Source organism: Homo sapiens, chromosome 3 (genome assembly GCF_000001405.40).
Source record: "Homo sapiens chromosome 3, GRCh38.p14 Primary Assembly".
NCBI classification, from domain to species: domain Eukaryota; kingdom Metazoa; phylum Chordata; class Mammalia; order Primates; family Hominidae; genus Homo; species Homo sapiens.
Window position 1 is genome coordinate 155,774,593 of NC_000003.12, and position 24,238 is coordinate 155,798,830.

Here is a 24,238-nt window from a genome sequence, read left to right on the forward strand (position 1 = left end):
CAGCCCAGGATGGCTTTGAATATGTCCCAACACAAATTTGTAAACTTTCTTAAAACGTTATGATATTGTTTTGCTTTTTTTTTTTTTTTTTTTTTAGCTCATCAGCTATCATTAGTGTATTTAATGTGTGGCCCAAGAAAATTTTTCTTCTTCCAATGTGGCCCAGGGAAGCCAAAAGATTGGATACCCCTGTCTTACACCCTTCCTCCCTGTGCCTCAATCACAGGAGTCTTGGTATGTCTTGTCAAAAGCATCATGCTCTTTCTCACCTATCCTCTTTCTAGCTAGCCTCCTCTTAATTCTTCAGGTCCCTGATTAAATAACAACTCCTCAATGAGGCCTTCTCTGACTACTCTATATGTATAGATTCCATACTGCCATCCCCAAGACCACCCAGAATTATCCTAGTATCCTGCTCCTTTTCTTCATAGCTCTTAGGACAACTTTTCATTTGTTTGTTGTCTATCTCGCACCTAGACTATAAGCTTCAAGGGTTAAAAGAGCTTTGTTTTACCCAACATTGTACAATTAGCTTAGGTTCTAGACCATAATAGGTGCTCAACATTTGTGAAATGAATGAATGATTGAATAGTTCAATTTAAAAAGCAGTGAAGGGGCAGGGTGTGGTGGCTCAGGCCTGTAATCCCAGCACTTTTGGAGGCCGAGGTGGGCGGATCACCTGAAGTCAGAAGTCCAAGACCAGCCTGACCAACATGGAGAAACCCCATCTCTACTAAAAATACAAAATTAGCTGGGCGTGGTGGTGCATGACTGTAATCCTAGCTACTCAGGAGGCTGAGGCAGGAGAATTGCTTGAACCTGGGAGGCGGAGGTTGCAGTGAGCCGAAATTGCACCATTGCACTCCAGCCTGGCAACAAAAGTGAAACTCTGTCTCAAAAAAAAAAAAAAGGAACGAAAGAAGAAAGGAAATCTGAGCCAAATTAAGCACCTCCCACCTCCTTATATATAAAGCCAAGAATTGAGACTTTCTCATGGACAATGGAGAGTTATTAGGAATTAAAATGACTTTTTTTTGCTATTTTATAAATAACTTCTAATAAAAGAAGACCACAATAGTTAGTTTCATTAATCTTGTACCTTACTTACTTCTCAATGAAGCTATAATAGGTAAAGTAATAGGTATATGTTCAATTTCTAAACCATTCTCAGTTATTCGGCGTAATCGTCCACGTAGTTTAACATTTCTTCTTATAAATTCTACTGGAATATCCGAAGAGCTTGTAAATTTTGATGTCTATTGATTTACAGGGAGAAAAATATAACCACTTATTATTATTGTCATCTCAAAATTTAAAATGTCAAATTATCAAAACATTTCACAAGAGTACATAACCATGAACATTTTAAAATTTAGTTCCTAATTTTATATTACTTTAATATGATTTAATCAAAAGTGTTTATGGAAACATTATTTACAAATCATTATTCACCATTTTCAAGCCAACCACATAAAGACATTAAACAGACTCCTAACTTCTAAAAGCTTATAACCTCAAAATATGACACAATTCATCAAAAGACATTGAGTATCTATCTATGCCTGGCACCACACAAATCTGGTTAAACAGTCTCTAGCTTGTTCCACATAAGTACAATCTATTCATGCATATACTGACGGGAAAACTTAAACAAAGCTCAGTCAAATTAAGTTAGAACCTTAACCAACCAGGTTTTTTTACTATCATTTTTTTATCTTGTAGGAGAAAAGGCACATTTAAAAAAGAAAAACGAAAAAAAGGCCAACATTAGGACTGTACTACAATCCCTAACACTTAGGTGATATCCTGGAATCAATCAACACTTTATGCCTATTTTTTCCACGTTAACAATACCATAAGCTTTGTTCATAATTATGGCTAGTTAAGAGGCTCACATAACAGAAGGAAAAGCCAGGCACGATGGCTTATGCCTATAATCCCAGCACTTTGGGAGGCTTAGGTTGGAGGGTTACTTGAGGCCAGAAGTTTGAGACCAGCCTGGGCAACAATAGCAAGATACCATCTCCACAAAAAAATGTAAAAATCAGCTGGGCATGGTAACACAGAACAGGAGGGTCACTTGAGCCCAGGAGTTTAAGGTTACAGTGAGCCATAATAGCACCACTACACTCCAGCCTGGGTGACAGAGCGAGAACCTGACTCTGTCAAAAAAAAAAAAAAAAAAAAAAAAAGAATAAATTAGTACCCAACTTCCTATGACAGTAAGGTTGAACTGAAGATTTTTATAACCAAGAATAGTGTAGGAGACAAACCCAGAATGTGGAATATACTATAGAATAAATCACTTGGTTTTCCCAACAAATCAATGGCATTGGAAAAAAAGGGTGGCAAGATACTATAAAATAAATGAGATTTAAGAAATAAATAAAATATATAGACTATTTGAATAGATCATCTATTTTTAAAAATCATAGTGACAATTGGCCGGGCATGGTGGCTCATGCCTGTAATCCTAGCACTTTTGGAGGCCGAGGCGGGAGGATCACCTGAGGTCAGGAGTTCGAGACCAGCCTCAACATGGAGAAACCTCATCTCTACTAAAAATACAAAATTAGTCGGGCGTGGTGGTGCATGCCTGTAATCCCAGCTACTTGGGAGGCTGAGGCAGGAGAACTGCTTGAGCCTGGGAGGCGGAGGTTGCAGTGAGCCAAGATCGCACCATTGCACTCCAGCCTGGGCAACAAGAGCGAAACTCTGTCTAAAAAAAAAATTAAAAAAAAAATCATAGTGACAATCAAGATCTGAATACAGACTGGGTATTAGATGATTCTAAGAGATTATTGTTAATTTTATTAGCTGTGATAATATTAAAGGACAAACTAACATTACAGATCTTTTTTTTTTTTAGACAGGGTCTCGCTCTGTGGCCCAGGCTGCAGCTCAGTGGCATAATCCTGGCTCACTGTAGCCTCGACCTCCTGGGCTCAAGTAATCCTCCGGCCTCAGCCCCCCAAGTAGGACTACAGGTGTGCACCACTACACCTGGTTAATTTTTAAATTTTTTGTATAGATGGGGTCTTTATTTGTCACCCAGGCTGATCTCAAATTCCTGGGCTCAAACAATCCTCCTGCCTCATGAATTTTGATGTCATAAACTAGGAAGTACATATCATCACCTTCTTGCCAAAATGCTTAGGCTGAATCTCACAAGGCAAGAAACAAATTCAGATTATAGAACATATTACAAGACAACTGGCTTGGACTCTAAAAATGTCAGCATCATGAAAGAAAAAAATTGTTTTTAAGTAGGGGTAATGGCCAGATGCGATGGTTCATACCTGTAATCCCAGCATTTTGGGAGGCCGAGGAGGACAGATCATGAGGTCAATAGATGGAGACCATCCTGGCCAACATGGTGAAACTCCATTTCTACTAAAAATACAAAAATTAGCTGGGCATGGTGGTGCGTACTTGTAGTCCCAGCTACACAGGAGGCTCAGGCAGGAGAATCGCTTGAACCTGGGAGGTGGAGGTTGCAGTGAGCTGAGATCGTGCCACTGCACTCCAGCCTGAGTGAAACTCCATTTCAAAAAAAAAAAAAAAAAAAAAACAAGTAGGGGTAATATTCTTGATTAAAGGAGTCTAATGAGACATAACAAGTAAATATAATGCATGATCCTTGTTTGAATGTTGGATTGGGAAAAAAACAATAAAGGACCTTTTTTAGAAAATACATCTGAATATGAACTTTATTTTATGTAAGATTGGTGCAGAAATGTTAAATTTATTAGATGTGCTAATATTAATGTGGGTATGTAGGAAAAATCCTTGCTCTTAGGAAGTACGCTATGAAGTATTTATGGATGATGTCTCATGATGTCTGCAACTTGCTTTGAATTGGTTTCACAAAGGAAGAGAGAATACAACTGTAGCAAAATGTTAACAACTGGTGAATCTAGGTGAAAGGAAAATGAATGTGACAAAATTTTTTAGGAGAAAAAGTTGGGAGGAAAAAGATTCTGGATCTACTGTCAATATTCACTCAAGAATGTGAAATATGCAGAATATAAATGAAAGAGAGGAGAAATGCTAAATCAAACCACAAAGAATTTGAATCACAGGACAAAGTTGCTTATGACAAGTTTATGGGAAAAACAGAGAAATACAGATTAAATATGCACATAGTCAGATGGTTCCCAACATGGTTTACTGAAAACACTAAGGGAATACCAATGAATTAATCAATGTCAATAGAAAGTGGTACTCTAGGGGTAATCTATGGAACTCTGACCTCCAGTTTAATATGATCATGAATGACTTGAATGATAGCATGAGGAACAAACATCAGAATGGCTGGTTGTTTGGAAGGATATGACTGCTGGAAGTCAGGATAAGTATTCAAAAAGATTCTGACAACCAGAATAATGAACTAAATTGTAAAGACTCCTCCTGTACTCCCCAAAACTAATGAAGGATGGGAGAGAACAAATTAATACCTATAGTGCTTATATGGGTGATATTTAGAGATTTTAGGGAACTGTGAACTCAAAATGAGTAAAAGTATAACATTGCTGCTAAAAACAAACACACAAAAACAGAAAAAGTGCAACCTGGTCTCCTCACCACCAAAAAAAGTTCAACCTAAGGTAACGCTTTTAGGAACAAAATCTAGAGCAAGAGAAGTGAGAGACAGATTGTCCTAAAGCAGGACCTAAGGAGAATATATTGCACTACTCTGGGATCTTTTTTCTTTTTTTTTGAGACAGAGTCTCGCTCTGTTGCCCAGGCTGGAGTGCAGTGGCATGATCTCGGCTCACTACAATCTCTGCCTCCCGGGTTCAGGCAATTCTCCTGCTGCAGCCTCCTGAGTAGCTGGGATTACAGGCATGTGTCACCACACCCAGCTAATTTTTATATTTTAAGTAGAGACAAGGTTTCGCCATGTTGGCCAGGCTGGTCTCAAACTCCTGACCTCATGTGATCCGCCTGCCTCAGCCTCCCAAAGCGCTGGGATTACAGGCGTGAGCCACCGTGCCCAGCCATGAGATCATATTTCATAAAAGGCTTTAACAAACTGGAGCAAAGCCAGAAGAAGGGCAAAAAAAAAATAGGCACCTGGAAACCATATCACCCAGGAGAACTGACAGTACTTTGCCCAGGGAAAGAAAGAGTTAAAAGAAGTAGGATGGCCAATAAAGATGTCTTCAACTACTAAAAGTGCATCCTTTTTAATTCTGGTGTGTTTTCTTACAATATATGCAAGAAGGTCAAAGAGTGCCTTAATGTTTGGAGTTTTATAAATTATTAAGAAGCTGAAGGAGAAAATCAAAGGAGCACCAATGTTCCTGCTCTCAAGGAGCTCACAGTGTATGTGAGAAAGATTCCATTGCATCCATTTATTTTATATCCCACAACAACACAAAGCTCAAAGCTGTGCTTCTGTAACACAGCAGGGACTATTTGGAAGACGAACAAAAAATATACATAAAACAACCAGAATATAAGTGTAGAGCAATACATGAATAGGTTTAAAATAAATTATATATCAAAGGGGACAGAAAGGGATAGATCCAAAGGATAAGAACAGATAAGGAGGCTGTCTTTACAGGAAGTAAATCCCGAGCTTGTGACAAACACAACCTACACTCTAGGAGAGGCAGAAAGATGATGCTGCTACAAGGATGCTGTGTCTAAGCTTCAGACGGTGAAGAAGATGTCCTAAAGGCAAAAAAATAAATGCTGGAAGCATCCTGGTAAAGACAAAGAAAATAAGGGTTTCAAATTCAAGACATAAATTTGAAATCCAGCTCTGCCATTTACTAGCTGGATGATCTTGTGAAAATTGTTTACCTCCTTTAAGTATCTACTTTGTCATCTATAAAAATCAACCTTGATCAAAAGATTATTATAAGCATTAAATGAAATTATGTTTATAAAGTGCTGGCACAATGCCAAACTCAATAATCTTCTTTTATTTTTTAAATATAAAATTTGCAATTATCAACCAGTAACTGAAGGAATATAAGAACTTGATAAATAAACTCTCAGAGGGAAGAAAATCAGCAATACAAAAAGAACACTGAAGCATGACTAACACAATATCCATTGCTAAATCCCTTCTTCTTTGCCACCATGCATTTTAGGGATGGGAAAGCTAAATGGTCACTCTCCCTGCATCCTTTCCAGGTAGAGGTGGCTATGTGACAGAGGATGTAAACAAAATTCTGCTGAAGGCTTCTGGGAAAAACGCTTTCCTGACAAAGGAAAAGTTGTGGTTGGTACTGTCCTTTTCCTCCATTTCCTGCCTTGATCATGAATATGGTATTTGGAGCTACAAAAGGCATCCTATGCAATAAGAAAAGTCCAAAAAACTACATAGACTTAAGCCCTTATGTCACTGAGGCAAGGAACCACTGCCAGCAGCCTACCTCTAGACTTCTTTTTTTTTTTTTTTTGAGACGGAGTCTCGCTCTGTCGCCCAGGTGGGACTGCGGACTGCAGTGGCGCAATCTCGGCTCACTGCAAGCTCCGCTTCCCGGGTTCACGCCATTCTCCTGCCTCAGCCTCCCGAGTAGCTGGGACTACAGGCGTCCGCCACCGCGCCCGGCTAATTTTTTTTTTTGTATTTTTTTTTAGTAGAGACGGGGTTTCACCTTGTTAGCCAGGATGGTCTCGATCTCCTGACCTCATGATCCACCCGCCTCGGCCTCCCAATAGACTTCTTATGACTTGAGAAAAATAAACCCCTTACATGGTGAAGCTGCTGTTACTTGGGGTTTCTCTTACTTGCAGCCAAACTCATCTGTAACACAACAAATATTTTTGTTTGCTTGTTTTTGTTTTAATCACTTAATGTTTCAATGTTCTCTTCCTAGCACCTAGCTTGCCCTTCTCATCACTAGTAAGTCACTATTACTTAAAAATAGTGGGCCAGGGCTGGGCGCAGTGGCTCACACCTGTAATCCCAGCACTTTGGGAGGCCAAGGCAGGCAGATCACAAGATCAGGAGATCGAGACTATCCTGGCTAACACGGTGAAACCCCATCTCTACTAAAAATACAAAAAATTAGCCGGGTGTGGTGGCACATGCCTGTAGTCCCAGCTACTTGGGAGGCTGAGGCAGGAGAATTGTTTGAACCCAGGAGCCAGAGTTTGCAGTGAGCCAAAATCGCACCACTGCACTCCAGCCTGGGTGACAGAGTGAGACTCTATCTCAAAAAAAAAAAAAAAAAAAAAATAGTGGGCCGGGTGCGGTGGCTCATGCCTGTAATCCCAGCACTTTGGGAGGCTGAGACAGGCAGATCACCAGGTCAGGGATCAAGACCATCCTGGCTAACACGGTGAAACCCCGTCTCTACTAAAAATACAAAAAATTAGCCGGGTGTGGTGGCATGTGCTTGTAGTCCCAGCTACTCAGGAGGCTGAGGCAGGAGAACTGCTTGAACCCAGGAGCCAGAGGTTGCAGTGAGCCAACATGGCGAAACCCCATCTCTACTAAAAATACAAAATTAGCCAGGTGTGGTGGTGGACTCATGTAATCCCAGCTACTCAGCAGGCTGAGCCGAGATCATGCCAATGCACTCCAGCCTGGGCGACAAAGCAAGACTCCGTCTAAAAAAAAAAAAAAAAGATAAATTATTGAGTCTGCGGAACAGAAAGAAAAAAAAAGATTGAAGAAAAGGGAACAGGGCCTAAGGAATCTATGGAACACCATTAAATGAACCAACATATGCACTAGAGGAGTCCCAGAAGAAAAAGAGAAACAAGCAGGAGAGAAACTATTTGAAAAAAAAAACCATGACTGAAAACTTCCCAAGTTTGATGAAACAGACAAATATAAACATCCAAAAAGCTCAACAAACTCCAAGTAGGATGCACTCAAAAAGACTCAGGCCAAGATATTAGCAAACTGAATAAAGACAAAGAAAAAACTTTGAAAGCAGCAAGAAAGAAGCAATTTGTCACATAAAAGGATCCTTAATAAGATTATCTGCAGATCTCTCATCAGAAACTTTGGAGGCTATAAGGTAGTGGACTGATATATTCAAAGTGCTAAAAGCAAGAAAACTATAAACCAAGAATATTATATCCAGCAAAACTGACCCTCAGAAGTGAAGAATTCAAGACATTTCCGGATAAATACAAGCCAAGAAAGTTTGTTACCACAGACTTGCCCTGCAAGAAATGCTAAAACTAGTGCTACAGGTTGCAATGAAAGGACACTAGACAGTAACTTGAAGCCATATGAAGAGATAAAGATCTTGGTAAAAGTAAATACATGAGCAATTATAAACACTAATATTATTGTAACAACAGTTTGTAACTCCACTTTTTGTTTTCCACATAATTTAAGAGACTACAGGTTGAGCATCCCTAAACCACAAATCTGAAATCTGAACTGCTCCAAAATCTGAAACTTTTTGAGTGCCAACCTGACACCAAAAGTGGAAAATTCCACACCAGAAAAATAAAAAAATCTGCCATTATTTGTTATTGTTCTTGTTTAACAGCCAATACTGGTATCCTGATGATGCTACTGTCCTGCTCAGTTAAATGCTTTTGGTCCCAAGCATCTTGGATAAGGGATACTCAACCCATTCTACATTTTTTTTTTTTTTTGAGATGGAGTCTCGTTCTGTCACCCAGGCTGGAATGCAGTGGCACAATCTCGGCTCACTGCAACCTCCGTCTCCTGGGTTCAAGCAGTTCTCCTGCCTCAGCCTCCCGAGTAGCTGGGATTACAGGCGTGTGCCACCACACTCAGCTACTTTTTGTATTTTTAGTAGAGACACGTTTTCGCCATGTTGGCCAGGCTGGTCTTGAACTCCTGACCTCAGGTGATCCACCCACCTCATCCACCCAAAGGGTTGGGATTACAGGCATGAGCCACCGCACCCAGCAAACCTGTACTACATTTTTTTTTTTTTTTTGGAGATGGAGTCTCGCTCTGTTGCCCAGGCTGGAGTGCAGTGGCACGATCTTGGCTCACTGAAATTTCTGCTTCCCAGGTTCAAGGGATTCTCCTGCCTCAGCCTACCAAGTAGCTGGGACTACAGGCACACGCTGCCACGCCTGGCTAAGTTTTTGTATTGTAGTAGAGACAGGGTTTCACTGTGTTGCCCAGGCAGGTCTCAAACTCCTGAGCTCAGGCAATCTGCCCGCTTTGGCCTCCCAAAGTGCTAGCATTACAGGCATAAGCCACCTCACCAGGCCTGTACTACATTTTTAAAAGAGACAATAATTAGTTTAAAACTTAGTATTATTGTAACTTTGGTTTTTAAGTCCATATTTTGTTTTCTACATAATTTTAAAGACTCAGATATTTTAAAAATTATTAGTTTATGGGTTTTTTTGTTTTGTTTTGTTTTGTTTGGGGTTTTTTTTTTGTTTTTTTTGAGACAGAGTTTCGCTCTTGTTGCCCAGGCTGGAGTGCAATGGCACAGTCTTGGCTCACCACAACCTCCGCCTCCCGGGTTCAACCGATTCTCCTGCCTCAGCCTCCCAAGTAGCTGGGATTACAGGCATGTGCCACCAGGCCCAGCTAATTTTGTATTTTTAGTAGAGATGGGTTTCTCCTTGTTGGTCAAGCTGGTCAAGAACTCCCAACCTCAGGTGATCCTCCTGCCTCAGCCTCCCAAAGTGCTGGGATTACAGGTGTGAGCCACCGCGCCCAGCCTAGTTTATGCTTTTTTTATATCCACAATGTACAAAAATGCGATTCTGTGATATCAAGAACTGAAAGGAGTGGGGATGATGTTCAAAAGGAGTAGTTTTTGTATTTTATTGAGGTTAAGTTGGTATGAATTTAAATTAGAGTGTTATAACTTTAGGATGTTAATGGTAACCTAGAACAAATAGTTATGCAATACACAGAAAAGGAAATAATATAAAATTAAAACACTTCAGCTGGGCGTGGTGGCTCATGTCTGTAATCCCAGCACTTTGGCAGGCCAAGGCAGGTGGATCACTTGAGGCCAGGAGTTCGAGACCAGCCTGGCCAACATGGTGAAACCCTGTCTCTACAAATCAAACAAAAATTAGCTAGGTGTGGCAGTGAGTACCTGTAATCCCAGGTACTTCGGAGGCTGAGGCAGGAGAATCACCTGAATCCGGGAGGTGCCGAGATGGCACCACTGCACTCCAGCCTGGGTGAGAGAGTAAGACTCTGTCTCAAAAAAAATAAAATAAAATAAAATAATTAATTAAATAAATAAAATAAAAAATTATACAAAATACAAAAACACAGTAATGCAGGAAATGAGGGACAAAAAAACCTATAAGGCATATAGAAAACAGATGGCAAAATGACAGAAGTCCCTCCTTATCATTAATTACTTTAAATGGTAATGAGTTAAAGTCTCCAATAGAAAGAGAGAGATCAGCCTAATTTATTTAAAAATTATCATTCAACCATATGCAGTCTACAGGGGATACACTTTAAATCCAAACAAATAGGTTGAAAGTGAAAGGATGGAAAAAAATATTCCATGCAAATAATAACCAAACAAGAGCAGGGGTACCTAAACCAATATCAGAAAAACTAGACTTTAAATCAAAAAAAGTTACAACAGAAAAAAAAGGACATTATATATTAATAAAATATTCAAAAAAAGCAAGAAGCCATAATAATTATAAATATTTATGTACCAAATAACAGACCAGCAAAAATGGTGAGAGTTGAAGGGAGAAATAGATAATTTTGCAATAACAGAGACAACACCCCACTCTCATAATGAATAGAATAGCCAGACAGAAGATAAGTAAGGAAAAAGAGGACTTAAATAATAAAATAAATCGCTTAGATCTAACAAACATATACAGAATACTCTACCCAATGACAACAGAATATATATTATTCTCAAATGTACATGGAACAGTCTCCAAGATAGACCATTTGTTAGGCCACAAATTAAGTCTTAGTAAATTATGAAAGACAGATGTCATACAAAGTATCTTCTCTGAACACAACAGGATGAAGTTATAAATAAATAACAGAAGAAAAAATTTGCAAATCTGTGGCAATTAAATGCACTCAAACAGCCAATATATCAAAAAACAATCACAAGGAAAATTTAAAAGTACTTAGAGACCAATAAAAATTAAAACACACCATGCCAAAACTGACAGAATATAGTGAAAGCAGTGCTAAGGGAGAAATGTGTAACTGTAAATGCTTAACTAAGAAAGAAGAAAAAGAAAAATAGTCCAGATGCAGTGGCTCATGCCTGTAATCCCAGCACTTTGGGAGGTCTAGGTGGGCAGATCACTTGAGCTCAGGAGTTTGAGACAATTCTGGGCAACATGCCAAAACCCTGTCTACTAAAAAAATACAAAACATTAGCCAGGTGTGGTGGCACACACCTGTAGTCCTAGCTGCTCAGGAGCCTGAGGTGGGAGAATCACCTGAGACAGAGAAGTCAAGACTGCAGTGAGCCATGGTAGTGCCACTGCACTCCAGCCTGTCTCAGAAAGGAAAAGGGAAAGGAAAGGAAAAAGGAAAAGGAAAGGAAAAAGGGAAGGAAAGGAAAAAGGGAAGGAAAGGAAAAAGGGAAGGGGAAATGGGAAAGGAGAAAGGGAAGGGGAGGGAGAAGGGAAGGGAAAGAAAAGAAGAAGGAAAGATTGATCTCAAATCAAAAACCTAACTTTATAATTTAAGGAAATGGGGGGAAAAGGCCACACTAAACCCAAAGCTAGCAGAAGAAAGGAAATACTAAATATGAGAGTGCAGACAGGAAGGAGAAAAACAATAGAGAAAAATTAATGAAACTAAAAGTTGGTTCTTCAAAAAACAATAAAGCTGACAAATCTTTAGCTAAATGGACTAAAAAAAGAGAGAAAGGACTAAAATTCCTAAGTCAGAAATAAAAGTGGGGACATTACTACAAATTCTACAGAAATGAAAAGAACTATAAAAGAGTACTATGAACCACTGTACGCTAACAAATTGGATAACATAGATGAAATGGATAAATTCATAGAAACAAAAAACCAGGCCAGGCACAGTGGCTCACGTCTGTAATCCCAGCACTTTGGGAGGCCAAGGCAGGCGGATCATCTGAGGTCAGGAGTTTGAGACCAACCTGGCCAACGTGGCGAAACCCCATCTCTACTAAAAATACAAAAAAAAATTAGCTGAGCATGGTGGCAGGTGCCTGTAATCCCAGCTACTCAGGAGGCTGAGGCAGAAGAATCACTTGAACCTGGGAGGCAGAGGTTGCAGTGAGCTGAGATTGTGCCACTGCACTCCAGCCTGGGCAACAGTGCAAGACTCTGTCTCAAAAAAATAAATAAATAAATAACCTTCCAGGATGGAATCATGAAGAAAGTAAAAATCCAAATCCAAGTAGAACTAAAACTGTTAAGAAAGTTAAATCATTAATCAAAAATCTCCCAACAAAAGGAAGCCCTGGATCTGACAGCATCACTGGTCAATTCTACCATGGATTTAAAAGGGGACTAACACCAATCCTTCTCAAACTTTTCCCAAAAATTAAAGAGAAGAGAATACTTCCTAACTCAGTCTATGAGGCCAGCATTACCCTGATACCAAAGCCAGACAAAGACACTGCAAGAAAACTATAGACCAGTATCTGTCATAAACATTGACGAAGAAATTCTCTACTAAATCATAGAAAACCAGATTCAGCCACTCTTTTCTTTGTTGAAACAGGGTCTCACTCTGTTACCCAGACTGGAGTGCGGTGGCTTGATCATGGCTCAATGTAGCCTTGACCTGCTGGGCTCAATCGATCCTCCCACCTCAGCCTCCTGAGCAGCTGAGACCACAGGTATGCTTTTTTTTTTTTTTTTTTTGGAGACAGAGTCTTGCTCTGTCACCCAGGCTGGAGTGCAGTGGCATGATCTCGGCTCACTGTGCAACCTCTGCCTCCCGGGTTCAAGCAATTCTCCTGCCTCAGCCTCCCCCGTAGCTGGGACTACAGGTGCACGCTGCCATGCCCAGCTAAGTTTTTGTATTTTAGTAGAGACGGGGTTTCACTGTGTTGCCCAGGCTGGTCTCAAACTCCTGAGCTCAGGCAATCCGTCTGCCTCAGCCTCCCAAAGTGCTATGATTACAGGCGTGAGCCACTGTGCCCAGCCGTATGCCCAGCTAATTTGTTTTATCTATTTATTTTTTTTTTTTGTAGAGATGGGGTCTCTCTATGTTGCCCAAGCTGGCCTTGAACTCCTGGGTTCAAGTGATCCTCCCACCTCAGCCTCCCAAAGTGCTGGGATTACAAGTTTAAGCCACCACACACAGTCTTTCAGCCACATATTTAAAGGATTATACATTATAACTTAGTGGGATTTATTCCTGAAATGCAAGAATGATCCAACATATAAAAATCAACCAGTATAGGCCGGGCGCGGTGGCTCATGCCTGTAATCCCAGCACTTTGGGAGGCCGAGGCGGGCGGATCATGAGGTCAGCAGATCAAGACCATCCTGGTTAACACGGTGAAACCCCGTCTCTACTAAAAATACAAAAAATTAGCCGGGCGTGGTGGCGGGCGCCTGTAGTCCCAGCTACTGGGGAGGCTGAGCCAGGAGAATGGCGTGAACCTGGGAGGCGGAGCTTACAGTGAGCCGAGATTGTGCCACTGCACTCCAGCCTGGGCGACAGAGCGAGACTCCGTCTCAAAAAAAAAAAGGATAAAATAAAAATAAAAAGATCAACCAGTATAATACACTGCATTAATAGAATAAATTAAAAAAACACATGGTTACCTCAACTGATATAGAAAAAAACCTTTGACAAAATTCAATATTCCTTCATGATAACACTTAAGAAACTAAGAATAGAAGGCAACTACTTCAACATACTAAGGTCACATATGAAAAAACCATATTCGGCTGGGCGCAGTGGCTCATGCCTATAATCCTAGCACTTTGGGAGGCTGAGGCAGGTGGATCACGAGGTCAAGAGATCGAGACCATCCTGGCCAACATAGTGAAACCCTGTCTCTACTAAAAATACAAAAATTAGCTGGCTGTGGTGGCACAGCCTGTAATCCCAGCTACTCAGGAGGCTGAGGCAGGAGAATTGCTTGAACCCGGGATGCAGAGGTTGCAGTGAGCCGAAATCGCAGCCACCACACTCCAGTCTGGGCAACAGTGAGACTCCATCAAAAAAAAAAAAAAGAAAGAAAAAACCATAGTGAACATTATACTCAATGATGAAAAACTGAAAGCTTTTCCTCTAAGATCAGGAACAAGTCAAGGATGTCCACTCTCACCACCTCTATTCAACAGAGTACTACTGGATGTCTTAGCCAGAGCACCAGAGCACATAGACAAGAGAGAAAAAAGGCATCTAAAATAGAATAGAAGAATTTAAATACCTCTGTTCACAGATTATACGATCTTATATGTAGAAAACTCTAGAAAAACTATTAGAACTAACACACAAATTCAACCAAGTAAAAGAATACAAAGTTAACACACAAAAATCAGTTGCATTTCTAACATTAACAACAAACAATCTGAAAAGGACATTATGAAAGCAATTCCATTGGCCAGGTGTGGTGGCTCACGCCTGTAATCCCAGCACTTTGGGAGGCCAAGGTGGGTGGATCACGAGGTCAGGAGTTTGAGACCAGCCTGACCAACATGGTGAAACCCCGTCTCTACTAAAAATACAAAAATTAGCCAGGCGTGGTGGCAGGCGCTTGTAATCCTAGCTACTCAGGAGGCTGAGGCAGGAGAATTGCTTGAATCCAGGAGGTGGAGGTTGCAGTGAGCCAAGATTGCGCCATGGCACTCCAGCCTGGGCAACAGAGTGAGACTCTGTCTCAAAAAAAAAAAAAAAAGCAATTCCATTTATAATAACATCACAAAGAATAAAATAATTAGGAATTAACCAGGACAGTGAAAGACGCATACAATAAAACTACAAAACATTGCTAAAAGAAATTAGAGAAGATGTAAATGAAAAGACATCCCATGTTTATGGACTGGAAAATTTAATATTGTTTAAATGTCAATATTACACAAAGTTATCTATAGATTCAATACAATCCCTATCAAAATCCCAATGACTTTTTTTTTTCAGAAATAGGAAAATCCATCCTCAAATTCATGTGGAATCACAAGGGATCTCAAATACCCAAAATAATTTTGAGAAAGAAGAACAAAATTAGAAGACTCACACTTCCTGATTTCAAAACATATTTAGAAGCTACAGTAATCAAAACAGGGTAGTACTGGCATAAAGATAGACATACAGATCAATGGAACAGAGAGGCCAGGAATAAATGCTCACATATACAATTAAATGATTTTCAACAAGGGTGCCAACACCACTCAATGGGGAAAAGACAGGCTTTTCAAAAATGGTGCTGGGAGGCTGGGCCTGTAATCCCAGCACTTTGGGAGGCCAAGGTGGGTGGATAACTTGAGACCAGGAGTTTGAGACCAGCCTGGCCAACACAGTGAAACCCCATCTGTACCAAAAAATACAAAAATTAGCCGGATGTAGTGGCGCATGCCTGTAGTCCCAGCTACTGGGGAGGCTGAGGCATGAGAATCACTTGAACCCGGGAGGCAGAAGTTGCAGTGAGCCGAGATCATACAACTGCACTCCAGTCTGGGTGACAGAGTGAAACTCTGTCTCAAAAAAAAAAAAAAAAAAAAAAAAAATTGGTGCTGAGAAAACGGAATATTCACATGCAAAAAAGAAAAAAAAAAAAAAGGTCAGGCCCTTATCTAACACTATATAAAAAAATTAACTTGATAGAGCAAAGACCCAAACTCAAGAGCTAAAACTATAAAACTCCTTAAAAAAAAATATAGGGCAAAAGCTTCATGACAGTGGATTTGCCCATGATTTCTTAGATGTGACACCAAAGGCACAGGCAACAATTAAAAAAAGAAAAAGAAAAACAGGGCAGAGAAAAATGGCTGAATCATGGATCATCCTCCCCACAGGAATACCAATTGAACAACTATCCACACAAGAAAGCACCTTCATAAGAACCAAAAATCAGGTGAGCAATCGTTTCTTAACACTGAATAGAACAGAAAAGACAGTCTTCAACTGCTGATGCAACCCCTCCCCCATCCCTTTGCAGCAGCTGCGTGGCATGGAGGGAGAATCTATGCACTTGGATGGGGGAGAGTACATTGATTATGGGATTTTGCATTAGAACTCAGTGCTGCCTGTTACAGCAGAAAGCAACATCAGATAAAACTGAGCCGGGGCCCACAGAGGAAGTATTTAGACCAGCCCTAGCCAGAAGGGAATCATTCATGCCAGCAGTCACAACCTGAGGTCCTTCAAGCCTCACCACCACGGGATAATGTATTCTGGGGTCCTAAATAAACTTGAAAGGCAGTCTAGACCACAAGGCCTGCAATTCCTAGGCAAATCCTGGTGCCGTGTTGGCTCAAAGCCAGAGAACTTGGGGAATACATGACCCAGTGAGACATCAATGAGGGTGGCCAAGTGAATACTTGTGCCCCACCTCTCTCCTAACCCCAGGTAGCATGGCTCACAGCCCCAGGAGAGATTCCTTCCTTCTACCTGAGGAGAGGAAAAGGAAGAGTAAACAGAATTCTGTCTTGCAACTTGGAAACCAGCTCAGCTATAGTAGGATAAGGCACTAGGCAGAGGACGAAGACTCCCATTTCAGGCCCTAGCTCATAGATGACATTTCTAGATACACCCTGGGCCACAAAGCAACCCACTACCTTGAAGAGAAGAACCCAGTCCTGGCAGGATTCATCACTTCCTGACTCTAGAGCCCTTGGGTCTTGAATAACCAACAGCAATACTCACGCAATACCCGCTGTGGGCCTTGGGTAAGATTGAGAGATGTGCTGACTTCAGGTGTGACTCAGCACATTACCAGCTGTGATGGCTATGGTGAGGGACTCCTTCTACTTGAGAAAAGGAGGAGGAAGACTAAGGGGACATTGTTATGCAGCTTAGGTATCAGCTTTGCCACAATGGGGTAAAGCACCACATGGCCTCTTGGGGTCCCCAAGTCCAGGCTTAGGCTCTTGGACACCATTTCTGGATCTGCCCTGGGCCAGTGGGGAGACCACTTCCCTGATGGGAGAGTCCCAGGACTGGCAGCATTCACTACAAGCTGACTGAAGAACCCTCAGGCCTTGAATGAATATCAGTGGTAGCCAGGCAGTATTTGCCGCAGGCCTGGGATGGTGGTGGCCCCAGGGAGAGACTCTTCTGCTTGTGGAAAGGGGAGGGAAGAGTGGAAAGGACTGTCTTGTGGCTTAGGTCCCAGCTCAGCCACAGTAGCATATAGCAGCACCAGGTAGATTTTGAAGATTCACTACTCCAGGCCCTGGCTCCCGGATGACACCTCTGGACCTATCTGAGACTGGGAGAAGTCACCACCCAGAAGAGAAGGACACAAGCCTGGTTGGCTTCACCACCTACTGATTCTGGAGCCCTAGGATCTTCAGCAAACACAGGTAGTGACAAGGCAGCGGTTACCATGGGCCCTGGGAGAGACGCAGTGCTGTGTTGGCTTCAGGTCTGACCAAATACAATCCCAGTGTTGGCCACAGTGGTGATTATGTCACCCCTCCTCCAGCTCCAGGCACCTTGACACAGACAGAGAGACTCTACTTTTCTGGGAGAAAGAAAGGGGAAGAACAAGAGTCTCTGCCTGGTAATCCAGAGAATTTTTGCAGATCTTATCCAAGATGGTACATCTATTAGACTGTAAGAGCCACAGCGTTACTGGGCTTGGGATGCCCCCTAATACAAATATGGCTGCAGTGACCAAAAACTTAGATGACAACACCCAAGTGCATTCAAATACCTGGAAATCCTTCCAGAGAAGGACAGGTCCACACAAATCCAGACTATGAAGACTATAATAAATACCGAAATCTTCAATGCCCAGACCTCAATATCCACAAGCATCAAGAATATACATGAAAACATGACCTCACCAAAAAAAACTAAATAAGGTACCAGTCACCAATCCTGCAGAGACAGAGATATGTGACCTTTTGAAGAGAATATTCGAAATGGCTGTTTTGAGGAAACCTAATAAAATTCAAGACAACACAGTGAAAGAACTCAGAATCCTACCAGATAAACTTAACAAAGAGAGAAACAGTTAAAAAGAATCAACCAGAAACTCTGGAGCTGAAAAATGCAATTGACATATTGAAGAATGCATCAGAGTCTCTAAACAGCAGAACTGATCAAGCAGAAGAAAGAATTAGCAAGTCTGAGGACAGGCTATTTGAAAATACACAGTCAGAGGAGAAAAAAATAAAAAAGAATCAAACACTCTTACAGGATCTAGAAAATAGCCTCAAAGGGGCTAATCTAAGAGTTATTGGCCTTGAAAAAGAGGCAGAGAGATAGGGGTAGAAAGTTTAGTCAAAGGGATAATAACAGAGAACGTACAAAATCTAGAGAAAGATACTGATATTCAAGTACAAGAAGGTTATGGAACACCAAGCAGATTTAACCGAAAGACGATCACTACAACACAGTTAATAATCAAACTCTTAAAGGTCAAGGATAAAAAGAATCCTAAAAGCAGCAAGAGAAAAGAAACAAATAGCATACAATGGCACTCCAATACATCTGGCAGCAGACTTTTCAGTGAAATCCTTACAAGCCAGGCGAGAGTGACATGGCATAAAGTGCTGAAGAAAAGAAAATATATATGTGGCAAAAAAAAAAAAACCTGTAATTACTTTTGCACCAACCTAACAAAATAGTATAGCCAGTCAAACACGAAGGAGAAATACTCTCCTAGACAAACAAAAGCTGAGGGACTTCCTCAACACCAGACATGTCCTGCAAGAAATGTTAAAGTGAGTGCTTCAATCTGATTAAAAAAAAAAGAAAGAAAAAAAACGGATGTTAATGAGCAATAAGAAATCACCTGAAGGTACAAAACTCACTGGTAACAGAAAGTACAAAGAAAAACATGGGATATTATAACACTGTAATTGTGGTATGTAAACTACTGTATCTTGAGTAGAAAGGCCAGGCGCAGTGACTCACACCTGTAATCTCAGCACTTTGGGAGGCCGAGGAGGGCAGATAACTGAAGGTTAGGGGTCCAAGACCAGCCTGGCCAACATAGCGAAACCCCGTCTCTACTAAAAATACAAAAATTAGCCGGGCATGGTGGTGCCTGCCTGTAGTCCCAGCTACTCGGGAGGCTAAGGCAGGAGAATCTCTTGAACCTGAGAGGCAGAGTTTGCAGTGAGCCGAGATCGCACCACTGCACTCCACCCTGGGAGACAGAGTGAGACTCTGACTCAAAAAAAAAAAAAAAAAACTAAAAAAACTAAAAAAACTAAAACAGCTTTTCTAGACATAGACAGTATAATAAGATATAAATAGAGACATAAAGTTTAAAAGTCAGAGACAAAGTATAGAGTTTTTTTATTAATTTTGTCTTTGCTTCAGTGTTAGTTTGCTTGGTGGTGTTTTGTTTTTTTGTTTTTTTTGAGACAGAGTCTCACTCAGTCTGGCCCAGGCTGGAGTGCAGTGGTGCAACCTCAGCTCACTGCAGCAGCTGCCTCCTGGGTTCAAGTGATTCTCCTGTTAGCCTCCCAAGTAGCTGGGATTACAGGTGTGCCCCATCACACCTAGCTAATTTTGTATTTTTAGTAGAAACAGAGTTTCACCATGTTGGCCAGGCTGGTCTCAAACTCCTGACCTCAGGTGATCCACCTGCCTCGGCCTCCCAAAGTGCTGGGATTATAGGTGTGAGCCACTGCACCCGGCCTAGTTTGCTTGTTTATGCAATCAATGTTGTCATCGGTTTAAAATAACAGGTGATAAGATATTTGCAAGCCTCATGGTAACCTCCAATCAAAGAACATATAACTGATATACAAAAAATAAAAAGCAAAAAACTGAAACATCACAAGAGAAAATCATCTTTAGTAAGAGGAAGATAGGAAGGATGGAAAAAAGGAAGAGAAGACCACAAAACTAACAGAAAAAAAAAATTTTTTAATGACAGGAGTAAGTCATTACTTATCAATAATAACAATGTAAATGAACTAAACTCTCCAAAAGACATAGAGTAGCTGAATGGATTAAAAAAACAAGACCCAACAATCTTTTGCCTACAGGAAACATACTTCTCTTAATAAAGATACACATAGATTGAAAATAAAGAAATAGAAAAAGATACTCCATGCAAACAGAAACTGCAGAAGAGCAGCAGTAGCTATATTTATGGCAGATTTACAGACAAAATAGATTTTAAGATAAAATAGATTTCAAGACAAAAATTATAAAAAGAGACAAAGAAGGTCATTATATAATGATAAAGGGGTCAATTCAGCAAGAGGATACAACAATTATAAATATATATGCAGCCAACACTGCAGCACCAAGATATACAGAGCAATTAATATTAGAGCTAGAGCTAAAGAGATAGGTCCCAATATAATAATAGCTGGAGACGTGAACACCCCACTTTCATCTTCCAGATAGAAAATCAACAAAGAAACATCAAACTTAATCTGCACGATAGACCAAATGGACGTAGGATATTCATAGAACATTTCATCCAATGGCTGAAGAATATACATTCTTCTCCTTAGCACATGGATCATTCTCAAGGATAGACTATATGTTAGGTCAAAAAACAAGTCTTAAAAAATTTCAAGCCGTGTGCGGTGGCTCACACCTGTAATCCCAGCACTTTGGGAGGCCGAGGTGGATAGACCACCTGAGTTCGGGAATTCAAGACCAGGTTGGCCAACATGGCAAAACCCTGTCTCTACTAAAAATACAAAAATTAGCCAGACGTGGTGGTGCATGCCTGTAATCCCAGCTGATCAGGAGGCTGAGGCAGGAAAATTGCTTGAACCCAGGAGGCGGAGGTTGGAGTGAGCCGAGAGCGTGCCACTGCACTCCAGCCTGGGTAACAGAGCAAGACTTCATCTCAAAAATAAATAATTAAAAATAAAAATTTCAAAAAAATCAAAATTATATCAAATATCTTCTCTGACTACAATGGAATACAACTAGAAATCTATAACAAGAGGAATCTTGGAAACTATACAAACACATGGAAATTAAACAATGTGCTCCTGAATGACCACTGAGTCAACAAAAAGATTAAGAAAGAAATTTAAAAATTTCTTGAATCAAATGGTAATGAAGGCTGGGAGCGGTGGCTTACACCTGTAATTCCAGCACTTTAGGAGGCCAAGGCGGGCAGATCACCTGAGGTCAGGAATTCAAGACCAGCCTGGCCAACACAGTGAAACCCTGTCTCTACTAAAAATACAAAAATTAGCCAGATGTGGTGGTGCATGCCTGTAATCCCAGCTAATCAGGAGGCTGAGGCAGAAGAATTGCTTGAACCCAGGAAGCAAAGGTTGCAGTGAGCCAAGATCATGCCACTGCACTCCAGCCTGGGCAACAAAGCAAGACTCCATCTAAAAAAATAATAATAATAATAATGAAAACACAACATATCAACACCCATGGGATACAGCAAAAGCAATATTAAAAGGAAATTTTATAGCTATAAGCACCTACATCAAAAAAGTAGAAAAGCAAACAGGAATCCATTTAAAAGAATTAGAAAAGCAAGAGCAAACCAAACCCAAAATTAGTAGAAGAAAAAAATAATAAAGATTGGAGCAAAAATAAATGAAATTGCAGTGAAGGAATACAAAAGATTAGGGATATGAAAAGTTGCTTTTTTGAAAAGATAAACAAAGCCGACAAACCTTTAGCCAGACTAAGAAAAGAAGAGAGGAGACTCAAATAAATAAAATCAGAAATGAAAAAGGAGACATTACAACCAATACCACAAAAATTCAAAAGATTATTAGAGGCTACTATGAACAACTATATGCCAATAAGTTGGAAAACCTAGAGAAATAGATAATTCCTAGACATGTACAACCTACCAATATTGTAACATGAAGAAATCCAAAACCTGAACAGATCAACAAGTAATGAAAACAAAGCCATAATAAAAAGTAATGATATCAAAGCTGTAATAAAAACTCTGCCAGCAATGAACAGCCCAAGACTCAATGACTTCATTGCTGAATTTTACCAAACGTTTAAGAGAAAAATAAATACCAATCCTACTCAAATGATTCAAAAAATAGAGGAAGAGGGAATACTTCCAAACTCATTCTACAAGGCTAGTATTACCCTGATACCAAAACCAGACAAAGACACATCAAAAAAGAAAACTACAAGTCAATATCCCTGATGAACATTAATGCAAAAATCCTCAAAGAAATACCTACAAATCAAATTCAACAACATATTAAAAAGATCTTTGACCAAGTGGGATTTATCCCAGGGATGCAAGGATGGTTCAACATACATAAATCAATCGATGTGATACATCATATTGACAAAATGAAGGACAGGCCTGGCATGGTGGCTCATGACTGTAATCCCAGTACTTTGGGAGGCCAAGGCAGGCAGATCACCTGAAGTCAGGAGTTCGAGACTAGCCTGGTCAACATGGCAAAACCCCGCCTCTACTAAAAATACAAAAATTAGCCAGGCGTGGTGGTGGGTGCCTGTAATTCCAGCTACTTGGGAGGCTGAAGAGAATTGCTTGAACCTGGAGGTGGAGGTTGCAGTAGCCGGGGTCACACCACTGCACTCTAGCCTGGGTGACAGAGAGAGACTCCATCTCAAAGAAAAGACAAAAGCCATACAAACATGAACATTTCAATAGATGCTGAAAAAGCATTGGATAAAATCAACATTCCTTCATGATAAAACCCTCACAAAATGCTACAGAAGGAACATACGTCAACACAATAAAAGCCATACACAACAGACCCGCAGCCCTAGTATCACACTGAATGGGGAAAAACTGAAAGCCTTTCCTCTATGATCTAGACTATGACAAGGATGCCCACTTTCACCACTGTTATTCAATATAGTATTAGAAGTCCTAGCTAGAGCACTCAGACAAAAGAAAGAAATAAAGAGCATCTGAACTGCAAAAAAAGAAGTTAAATTTTTCTTGTTTGCAGATGATATGATCTGTATTCGAAAAAACCTAAAGACTCCACCAAAAGACTATTGGAACTGATAAATAAATTCAGTACAGTTGCAGGATACAATATCAATATATAAAAATCAGTGGCATTTCTACATGCCAACAGTGAACAATCTGAAAAAGAAATCAAGAAAGTAATCCCGTTTACAATATCTGGAAATAAAATTAAATACCTAGGAATTAATTTACCCAAAGAAGTGAAAGATTTCTACATCGAAAACTATAATACACTGGCTGGGCACAGTGGCTCATGCCTGTAATCCCAGCACTTTGGGAGGCCGAGGTGGGCAGATCACTTGAGACCAGGAGTTCAAGACCAGCCTGGCCAATATAGTGAAACCCTGTCTCTACTAAAAATACAAAAATTAGCCGGGCATGGTGGCACATGCCTGTAATCCCAGCTACTTGGGAGGCTGAGGCATGAGAATTGCTTGAACCTAGGAGGTGGAGGTTTCAGTGAGCCAAGATTGTACCACTGCACTCCAGCTTGAGTGACAGGGCAAGTGTCTGTCTCAAAGAAAAAAAAAAAAAAGGCTATAAAACACTAATGAAATAAATTGAAAAGGGTACAAACAATGAGAAAATTTTCCATGTTCATGGGTGGATTGGAAGAATCAATATTGTTAACATGCCCATATTACCCAAAGCAATCTACAGATTCAATGCAATCCCTATCAAAATACCAATGGCATTCTTCACAGAAACAGAAAAAACAATCCTCAAATTTCTATGGAGCCATAAAAGACCCAGAATAGCCAAAGTTATCCTGAGTATAATGAACAAAACTGGAACAATCACATTACTTGACTTCAAATTATAAGAGCTATAGTAACTAAAATGGCATGGTACTGGCATAAAAACAGACACATAGACCAATGGAACAGAATAGAGAACCCACAAACAAATCCATACATCTACAGTGAACTCATTTTCAACAAAGGTGCCAAGAACATAAGTTGGAGAAAGGGCAGTCTCTTTGATAACTGATGCTGGGAATACTGGATATCCATACGCAAAAGAATGAAGCTAGACCTCTCTCTCTCATCATATACAAAAATAAAATCAAAATGCATTAAAGACTTAAATCTAAGACCTCAAACTATAACTCTCCTACAAGAAAACATTGGGGAAACTCTCCAGGACATTGGACTGAGCAAAGATTTCTTGAAAAATACCCCATAAGCACAGGCAACCAAAGAAAAAATAGACAAACAGGATCATATCAAGTTAAAAAGCTTCTGCACCACAAAGGAAACGATTACCAAAGTGAAGAG

The 24,238-nt window shown here is 40.4% G+C and overlaps 1 protein-coding gene across 3 annotated transcripts in view, besides 3 other annotated features; it reads right to left on the bottom strand.

Moving 5' to 3' along the window:
• The window catches only part of C3orf33 (chromosome 3 open reading frame 33), a 43,662-nt gene that overhangs the window by 11,976 nt on the left and 7,448 nt on the right, over positions 1-24,238 (bottom strand). For all 3 annotated transcript variants that reach the window (XM_011512710.3, NM_001308229.2, NM_173657.3), the window contains one exon: positions 1,109-1,256. In XM_011512710.3, the coding sequence (XP_011511012.1) occupies positions 1,109-1,256 (148 nt within the window). The remainder of the gene's footprint in view (positions 1-1,108; positions 1,257-24,238) is intronic.
• Positions 15,219-15,393: a silencer, noted in NCBI's record as "fragment chr3:155507600-155507774 (GRCh37/hg19 assembly coordinates)". NCBI's record gives its function as "represses an EF-1alpha promoter that drives an FKBP-Casp9 reporter gene in an ReSE screen in phorbol 12-myristate 13-acetate-treated (for megakaryocytic differentiation) K562 erythroleukemia cells {active_cell/tissue: K562(+PMA)}" and the evidence as "EXISTENCE:reporter gene assay evidence [ECO:0000049][PMID:32094911]".
• Positions 16,266-17,465: an enhancer, noted in NCBI's record as "BRD4-independent group 4 enhancer chr3:155508647-155509846 (GRCh37/hg19 assembly coordinates)". NCBI's record gives its function as "activates an origin of replication core promoter dependent on BRD2, P300/CBP, MED14 and CDK7 cofactors, and independent of BRD4, by STARR-seq in HCT116 cells {active_cell/tissue: HCT116}" and the evidence as "EXISTENCE:reporter gene assay evidence [ECO:0000049][PMID:35650434]".
• Positions 18,834-19,034: a silencer, noted in NCBI's record as "peak4874 fragment used in MPRA reporter construct". NCBI's record gives its function as "represses an SCP1 promoter by STARR-seq MPRAs in K562 erythroleukemia cells {active_cell/tissue: K562}" and the evidence as "EXISTENCE:reporter gene assay evidence [ECO:0000049][PMID:32103011]".